Source organism: Homo sapiens, chromosome 7 (genome assembly GCF_000001405.40).
Source record: "Homo sapiens chromosome 7, GRCh38.p14 Primary Assembly".
NCBI classification, from domain to species: domain Eukaryota; kingdom Metazoa; phylum Chordata; class Mammalia; order Primates; family Hominidae; genus Homo; species Homo sapiens.
The window spans coordinates 5,773,504-5,782,139 of NC_000007.14; the positions used below are offsets into that span (position 1 = coordinate 5,773,504).

Here is an 8,636-nt window from a genome sequence, read left to right on the forward strand (position 1 = left end):
GTGCTGAGATTACAGGAGTGAGCCACCACACCCAGCCAGATTTTTAAAAAGTATTTTGAACACTATTTTCAAGCCAAATTTTGAGACGGAATCTTGCTTTGTCACCCAGGCTGGAGTGCAGTGGCACGATCTCAGCTCACTGCAACCTCCGTCTCCCAGGTTCAAGCGATTCTCCTGCCTCAGCCTCCCTGAGTAGCTGGGACGACACATGCGTGCCACCATGCTGGTTAATTTTTGTATTTTTAGTAGAGAAGTGGTTTTGTCATGTTGGCCAGGCTGATCTTGAACTCCTGACTTCAGTGATCTGCCTGCCTCAGCCTCCCAAAGTCCTGGGATAACAGGCGAGTCACCGTGCCTGGCCCCAAGCCAAATTTCTTATTTTTTCTTTGACCACAACTGGCTTCCTTCAATTTTACACTGAAAATCAAAGGGAGATGTGAGTCATTTTTACAGCTAATTTAGTTGAAATGTCAGGCTTGTAGTTAAGCAGACTGCTAGTAACGGTTCAAAAAATTCCTCATGAGTGGCACACCAGTGGCCCCAACCTGTGAGAAGAAAAGAATTCTGATGATGGAATTTCTACTCTTAACTAAATGTAAGTCTCTGTATCAGGTCATTTAACTCTCTGACACTCAAGTCTTTTAATCTGGGCTTCGGATAATACTGCCTATGTTTAAATCTTGGTTTCCCATTTAGTCAATCGGTGGCTCCAGATAAATTGTTCAATCTCCTAGGCCAATTTCCTCATTTGTAAAATGAGAATACAGTTGTTTTAAAATTAGTTGCGGGTAGGTAGAGTGGCATGTGCCCAAGTCCCAGCTTTACTGTGGTTGCTGAAGCAAGAGAATCCTTTGAGCCCAGGAGTTCAATGCTGCAAGTAAGCTATGATAGCACCATTGCACTCCAGCATAGGCGGCAGAGGGAGAACCTACCTCCAAAAAAATTCATTAATTTTAAAAAATAAAAACTTTTTAAAAACTAAATCAGTTGAATTACATGAAGTTTTAGCACAGTGCCTGATATATACTAAGTGTGACATTGTGCTATTTTTATTAACTGTTACCTGCGAAACAGAAAAATCAAAATAGCTATTCTTACATTACAAGGCTATGTTGAAAAATGAGAAGCCACTTTGTATATGGTAAATACCATCAAAATAGCTGCATTGTAATCACAAGTACACAGGAAATGCAGTGCTTATTAATAAAATACAGTTCAAGGGGGGAAAAAATCTTTATTTTCCCATTCCAAGTTACTTTTTTTTTTTTTATTGAGACGAAGTTTTGCTCTTGTTGCCCAGGCTGGAGTGCAATGGTGCAATCTCAGTTCACTGCAACATCCCCTCCAGAGTTCAAGTGATTCTCCTGTCTCAGCCTCCCAAGTTACAGGCATGTTGCCACCATGCCCAGCTAATTTTATATTTTTAGTAGAGATGAGGTTTCGCCATCTTAGGTTGGTCTTGAAATGCCGACCTCAGGTGATCCACCCCCCCGACACTCACCAAAGTGGTGAGATTACAGTCGTAAGTCACTGTGCCTGGCCTCTTTTCTTACTTATAGTTGTATTTCCAATGCCTAGCACAGTTGTTGAACGAGTGGCTCCAAAAACTTCTTCCTCTGTCAAAGACTGGAGCTGTTATTCACCATGGCCATAGAACCAGAGTCAGGAAACATGGCCTAGGCAACAACAATTAGGATTTTCTTCAGTTATCAAGTATTGCCCATTACAGAAAATATGGGAAACAAAGGAAGTCAGGAAGAAAAGAGAATCGCTCACGGTTCTCTCACCCAATTTTCTGGTTTTCAAAATCTCACCTTCACTTCCTCGTGACCAGAATGCTTGAGGCTGTCTTCTACAAATCATTTTTTTCTCCTTGTTCTATTCATGCTGCTTCTCCATTTTTCCTTATGTATATGCTCCTAAACTACTACTGTATGATCCTAGGGCTCTGTAGTGCCCCTGGCTCTCCAGAATACTTCCTGTAAATATGCCTGCCACTTCTGCAACAGATTTGGGGGTCACTAAAGACTTTCAAATTTAATGAGTTAATCCCTTTGACTTCCCAGCAAAAAGTGGGCAAAGCAGGCCAGGTGCAGTGGCTCACACCTGTAATCCCAAAACTTTGAGAGGCCGAGGTGAGTGGATTATTTGAGGTCAGGAGTTCAAGACCAGCCTGGCCAACACGGTAAAACCTGTCTCTACTAAAAATACAAAAACTAGCCAGGCGTGGTTGCAGGCACCTGTAGTCCCAGCTACTCGGGAGGCTGAGGCAGGAGAAATGCTTGAACCCGGGATGCAAAGCTTGCAGTGAGCCTAGAATGCGCCACTGCACTCCTGCCTGGGTGACAGAGCGAGATTCCATCTCAAAAAAAAAAAGAAAAAGTGGGCAAAGCAGAGCTAGGCACAGGCTGGAAGAAGATGACATGCCCGTGTCACACCAGGCCTCCACAATACCTCTTCCCAGCATGTTTTTAAAAATGTCTATAAACGATTGTTTTTCATTCAAATACCAGTTGCTCATCCTAACCATTCTTTGGATATCCATCCTTTTGTAAGTCTGTACTAATACAATTAATATTAAATCAATACAGAAAAAGTTTACTGTTAGCTCTCCATATCCATATGTGAAAGCTGTGGATATGGAGAGCTGACTGTACTGCTACAGCATTTTATGTAACAAGAATTGGTTATGCATCATCGGGAATACATCAAAACAAACTCTCAAATGGATTTTGTCTCAAAGAACTCAGAGTCCCATCAATCAGAGAATAAAGTCACTAGTGTAATAAAGAGACTATAGCCGGGCACGGTGGCTCAAGCCTGTAATCCCAGCACTTTGGGAGGCCAAGGCGGGCGGATCACGAGGTCAGGAGACGGAGACCATCCTGGCTAACACGGTGAAACCCCGTCTCTACTTAAAAAAAAAAAAAAGCACAAAAAAATTAGCCAGGCGTGGTGGCGGGCGCCTGTAGTCCTAGCTACTCAGGAGGCTGAGGCAGGAGAATGGCGAGAACCCGGGAGGCGGAGCTTGCAGTGAGCTAAGATCGGGCCACTGCACTCTAGCCTGGGCGACAGAGCAAGACTCCGTCTCAAAAAAAAAAAAAAAAAAAAGACTATAGGGGAAGGGCAGGTAGTCAGTGAAGGTTTCACAGGAATAGCCATATCAAGCTAAAGTGAGAGACGTGTCAGATCTGGGTTTATCCTTTAAAAGCACAGCAGCCCCTGACTCTACTAAAAAAATACAAAAATTAGCTGGGTGTGGTGGCTCATGCCTGTAATCCCTGTTACTCTGGAGGCTGAGGCACAAGAATGGCTTGAACCTGGGAGGAGGAGGTTGCAGTGAGCTGATATTGTGCCACTGCACTCCAGCCTGTGCGACAGAGGGAGACTCTGTCCAAAAAAAAAAAAAAAAAAGAGAGAGAGAAAAAGAGAGAGAGAGAGAAAAAAAGAAAGAAAGAAAGAAAAAGAAAGTGAAAGAAAGGAAGAGAAAGAGCGAGTGAGCACAACAGCTTTCACTTAGGGCTCCTGGGCCCAGAGTCATCAGGTAAAAAGTCTGAATACCCTGCTGAGAGATCACACAGAAAGACCTGACACTACACGTGGAGGGAAAGAGCCAGTGGAGCCCGGCCTTCCAGCAGTCTTTGACAAGGCATGTGAACGAAGAAGACATTGTGGAAGCGGATGCTCCAGCACTGGCCACCTCTGCTGACAACATGTCGACCAGAGAAAAATGGCCCAGGTGAGCACTTCTCAATTCTCCTGATTCATAAAACTGTCAACAAACAAAATTATTCTATGAAGCAGTAAGTATTAGGGTGGTTTGTTATACATCAACAGATAACTGAAACAGAGCTCAGATTTTATTTTCTAGCCAATGGGAAGCAATGCAATGACAGCTGTGCTTTAGAAAAATCAACCTGGCTGCAATGTGTAAGATGGCATGTAGGAGACAACCGGTGCCAGGAAACAAGAGCCAACAGTACCTAGGGGGAGGAGAAGAATACAAGACACTGACTGCAGAGTTAGAGTCGATGGGATCTGTGTATGTCACTGGCCATCAGGGCAAGAAGAAAGGAATCAAAGTTGACCTAGACGCTGAGATCAGGTGACCACAGGATGGTGATGCTATTAAGGAAGAACAAAGCAGATGATGAGTTCAGAGAAAGAAAACGAAAATTGTGTTAACTTTAATATGTGGACAAAATATGGTAAAATAACATCCATCATTATGGATATAAATATGCAAACAATTAGTCTAGAGTTTAACAGCTCTAAGAATCCTATTATCTGTGTATTTTTACAATAGGAAAGGTTTTAAATCAAAAATTAAACTCAAAATCTTCAGTGGGCGGGCTAAACAATTTAACATAAAACATCAAGATTTTCTTCAACTGTCCAATGAAAATTAGTTTAGAAACTAGGACAGATAAGTAAGTACATCCTCATGTGTGGAGGGTAAAATCAACGTTTTCAACGATCTTTTTAGAACTGAATCTTCTGTGACCAAAGGACATGCTTCTGCTTCTAGCCCAAGTACTGCCTTGCAGGCTCCATCCCTTGACATGTTTTCATACGGCATTTGAGTTATTTCTTTTAAACCACAAATCTCACCATGGTGAAACCGAAATCCTTACCATGGCCTACAAAACGCTACCATCACCTGACCTTGCTGACATAGCGGGCCTTACCTCATACCTTTTCCCCCCGCATTCACCATTCAGTAGTAACAATGGTTCAGTTCCATGACTTGCTCCTTCCTTCCACTGCAGGCTCTTCCCCAGCTAAACTACTCTTCTTCACTGCCTCTTGGACCAAATTAACTCTATTCATTGTTCGGTTCTTTGCTTTCTCCTCAGAGAAAAATTGTTCCTGATTATCCCCTAGATGTTCCTCCCTGGTTCAATCACACAACGTACCTCATTTCTTCAAAGTACTTCCAACAATACTTTAATATACTTATTTAGGAAACTATGTGTAATTTTGGTCTCCTCTGCTAAAACTTAAGTTCCAAGAAGGCAGAACCAAAGTGTCACTTGATCCCAAAGCCCCAGGACATAGCATATCGGATGGCACAGTAGATGATCTTCAATAGTAGATGTACTTTCAGAATAAATAGCACTCACTAATTATAGAAGGATAATTAGTGGCATGAACTCTGGGTCCAAACTGAGTTCAAGTTCCACGCTGACCCTTACAAGTTTTGGGACTAGATATTTTTCAGCACCTCAGTTTCTTTTTTTAAAATTATTATTATTTTTGAGACGGAGTCTCGCTCTGTCACCCAGGCTGGAGTGCAGTGGCACAATCTCGGATCACTGCAACCTCCGCCTCCCGAGTTCATGTGATTCTCCTGCCTCAGCCTCCCCAGTAGCTGGGATTACAGGCGCACGCCATCACACCTGGCTAATTTTTGTATTTTTAGTAGAGACGGGGTTTCACCATGTTGGCCAGGCTGGTCTCGAACTCCTGACCTTAGGTGATCTGCCCGCCTCGGCCTCCCAAAGTGCTGGGATTACGGGCGTGAGCCACACCATTCCCAACTATGTTCTATTATCTTTAACAATAATGCAAATATAATGATATCAGGTATGAGAATGAATTATGTCTCTAAAGAGCTAGAATATAGCAATGCCTAGAATTTTGTAAACACATTAAATAGTAGCTGGTAGTAGAATCAGCAAATACCAGCTCTCTCAACTATCCTATTCATCAACTTTCGATCTGCCTCACTCACACCTAACCCTTCTTTATCAGATTTCTCCACAGGGGCTTCAGGAGTTCTCTTTTATTAGCTGCTGCTGCTCTAATCAGGGTAAAAATCTAAAGCCTCGAATGAGGTTTGCCAGGGGGTCCAAAATCTGGCCCAGACTCTCCAGGCATTTCCTCAAATCCACCACTACTCCCCACACCCCAGGCGCAATAAATTATGAAATACAAAACCAAGGCAAAGCCAGGCCATGTATTAGCCTTCTTCCTTAAAGCAAGCCGACTAAATTGAGATGTTTCATAGAATCTTCCCGCTTCTCTCCCTTCTCAGCGCGTAAAGAATGTTCTGGCAGAGCACGGTGGCTAAAGCCTGTAATTCTTGTGCTTTGGGAGGCTGAGGGTCACTTAAACCCAGGAGTTGGGCAGCACAGCTAGACTCCGTCTCTTAAAAAAAAAAAAAAAAAAAAAAGTTAGCCGAGCGTGGTGGTGCGCGCCTGTAATTCCAGCTACTCGGGAGGCTGAGGCAGGAGAATTACTTGAAGCTGGCAGGCGGAGGGTGCAGTGGGCAGAGATGGCACCACTGCACTTTAGCCTGGGAAATACAGCCAGACTCCGCCTCAAAAAAAAAAAAAAAATGCTCAATGAATGGGCTGGGGTGGGTGGGGCAGAGAGGAGCTGACGGGACATACTACATCTAAAACGCCACTGTTTCCGAGGGACGCGGATATGCTCTGGTCCCCCACCTACATCCCATTCAGTAAACAAAGGTACCCACCGAAACATACAGCAGCACAAACCCATTTTTATAAGACCCTGTGCCTGACTATTGCAGGAAGATGGAGGACAAACAACAGCTGGAGAATAGATGAGCTGATGTTTGGCTCCTAACCTCTAAAACAATGCCAACCCAGCCCCTTCCAGGAGTAACAGCTTGAAAACAATACATGGCATTTAGATAGTTTTTAGCATTCCTGGCAATTCCGTTACTAATTCATGGGTCTTCCTCACAAGGGAAGAAACCCCATTTTTGAGGCACAGGCCCACCAGGGCAAAATGACCTGGCCAGGCTGGAGCCAGGTGCATGTGAGGGCCACTGTGAGGCCCTCTGCTCTGCTCACCCTCTACGTCACAGTGCTTCTTCTGTAGGTGAACGTGTGGGTTTTCAGCCAGGGCGCTTCTTACTGAAGGGCCCGAGGGTCCCGGAGAACATATCTGAAACGTCTTTTGAAAAGACTGTAGCACTTTGGGAGGCCGAGGCGGAGGGATCACCTGAGGTCAGACGTTAGAGACCAGCCTGGCCAACACGGAGAAATCCCGTCTCTACTAAAAATACAAAAATTAGCTGGACGTGGTGGCAAATGCCTGTAATCCCAGCTGAGGCAATCCCTGTGAGGCTGAGGCAGGAAAATCGCTTGAATCCGGGAGGCAGAGCTTGCAGTGAGCCGGGATCGCGCCACTGCACTCCAGCCTGGGCAACAGAGCAAGACTCCGTCTCAAAGAAAAGGAGAAAAAAAAAAAAGTAAAAGAAAAAAGAACGTTCTCTTTGCACGATCTAAGTACCTAGGACAGCTGCTACCCAGGCCCTTAGGGATTTACAGAGCCCTGTCGGATTTGTCAGAAATTTCTGTAACCCGCACGCCGCGCACGCTCCAGGGTTGGTTGCAAGTGGCCCAGAGTCTTGGATCCCTGGTCCTGTTCCACCGGGAGCAGAACCACCTCGACGCGGGGACAGCGGCCTCGCTCGCTGCCCAGCGCCCGGACACCCGAGCCGGGCCAGCCCCCAGCGCCCCGCAGAAGGGTTTGACGCACTTGCGGCGCCCTCGCGAGTGCCGGGTGACAGTCGCCAACTTTCGCGGAACACGCGCTCCAGATGTGAGGGAAGAGGAGGAAAAACGCCGCCCGCCTGGGCTGGGGTTCACAGGCACGGCCCGCCTCCCGCCGCTCCTCCAGGCCGCGCTCGGGTGCACGGACACCGCCTCCGCGGCGGCCTCGGGCCCGGGGGAGGGAAGCGCGGTCTCCCGGGCTGTTGCCCTCGCGCAGCAGACCCGAGGGGCCGGCCCGCGAAACTTCGCGAAGTGGCGAGAGGGGGCCACCCGGCCGCTCAGCGCCTTTGTCGCTCCAGCCTCGCCACCGCACCGGGCTCGAGACGCCCAGCCCAGCCCCTTGGCCCGATCCCGCCCGGGCCTCGGCCCGCGCCCCTCAGCTCGGCGGCCCTCACGGCCCGCGCCCCCGCCCCCACCCCCGGAGCTCCACAGAGGCGCCCCTCAGAGAGGCCGCGTCGCCTCACAGACCCGCCCAGGAGCTCGAGCGCGCCCCGCAGCCGACACTCACTCGTCACTCAAGTCGCCGGCTAGCCAGGCAGGTTCGGCGGCCTTCGCTACCGCGCCGCTTACTCCTCAGAAGCCGCAGCTGCGAGCTCCGTGGCAGCCGCTGCACTCCTTCCGGCCCTGCCGCGGCGTCACCTCGCGCCTGCGCACAGCGCCCCCTCCCGACTAAGGACAGGAAGAACCATAGAGGCACTCCGGGTACTGCGGAGGAGGGACCGGGGGGCTCACCATAGAGAGGGCCGCCTAGTCGCGCCTGCATCCGGGCTCTCCGCCTGCGGAGACTTGACTCCCCCACGAGGCAGGAGGGTGAAAGGAAAGGAGACCCCCATATCCGACCCCACAAGGAGCCACCATCTCCCCAGAGCTGAAAAGGGTATGGGGCAGGTGGTTGTGGATGTTTACTCGATATCTACTGATTTGCCCTAATTCGTTTGGCAAGTCATTCATTCATTCTGCAAATATATTCTGCGGATTTCCTGTGGGCCACACACTGTTCTAGGAATTGGGGAAATTAAGAGTAAAGTGGGTCCCATGGCTGGGCACAGTGGCTCACGCCTGTAATCCCAGCACTTTGGGAGGCCAAGGCGGGTGGATCACTTGAGG

At 47.9% G+C, this 8,636-nt stretch overlaps 1 protein-coding gene across 9 annotated transcripts in view, besides 1 other annotated feature; it reads right to left on the minus strand.

Moving 5' to 3' along the window:
• The window catches only part of RNF216 (ring finger protein 216), a 161,617-nt gene extending 153,457 nt beyond the window's left edge, over positions 1-8,160 (minus strand). For 5 of the 9 annotated variants that reach the window (NM_207116.3, NM_207111.4, NM_001377156.1 and 2 more), the window contains exon 1: positions 8,038-8,160. The gene's annotated coding sequence lies outside the window, so the exon portion shown is untranslated. Of the gene's footprint in view, positions 1-3,983; positions 5,161-6,481; positions 7,373-8,037 lie in introns of those variants that run through there. The other 4 variants (XM_005249785.3, XM_047420525.1, XM_047420524.1 and 1 more) reach the window with 4 other exon arrangements.
• Positions 7,569-7,958: a silencer, noted in NCBI's record as "silent region_17930". NCBI's record gives its function as "represses an Ori minimal core promoter by ATAC-STARR-seq in GM12878 lymphoblastoid cells {active_cell/tissue: GM12878}" and the evidence as "EXISTENCE:reporter gene assay evidence [ECO:0000049][PMID:35858748]".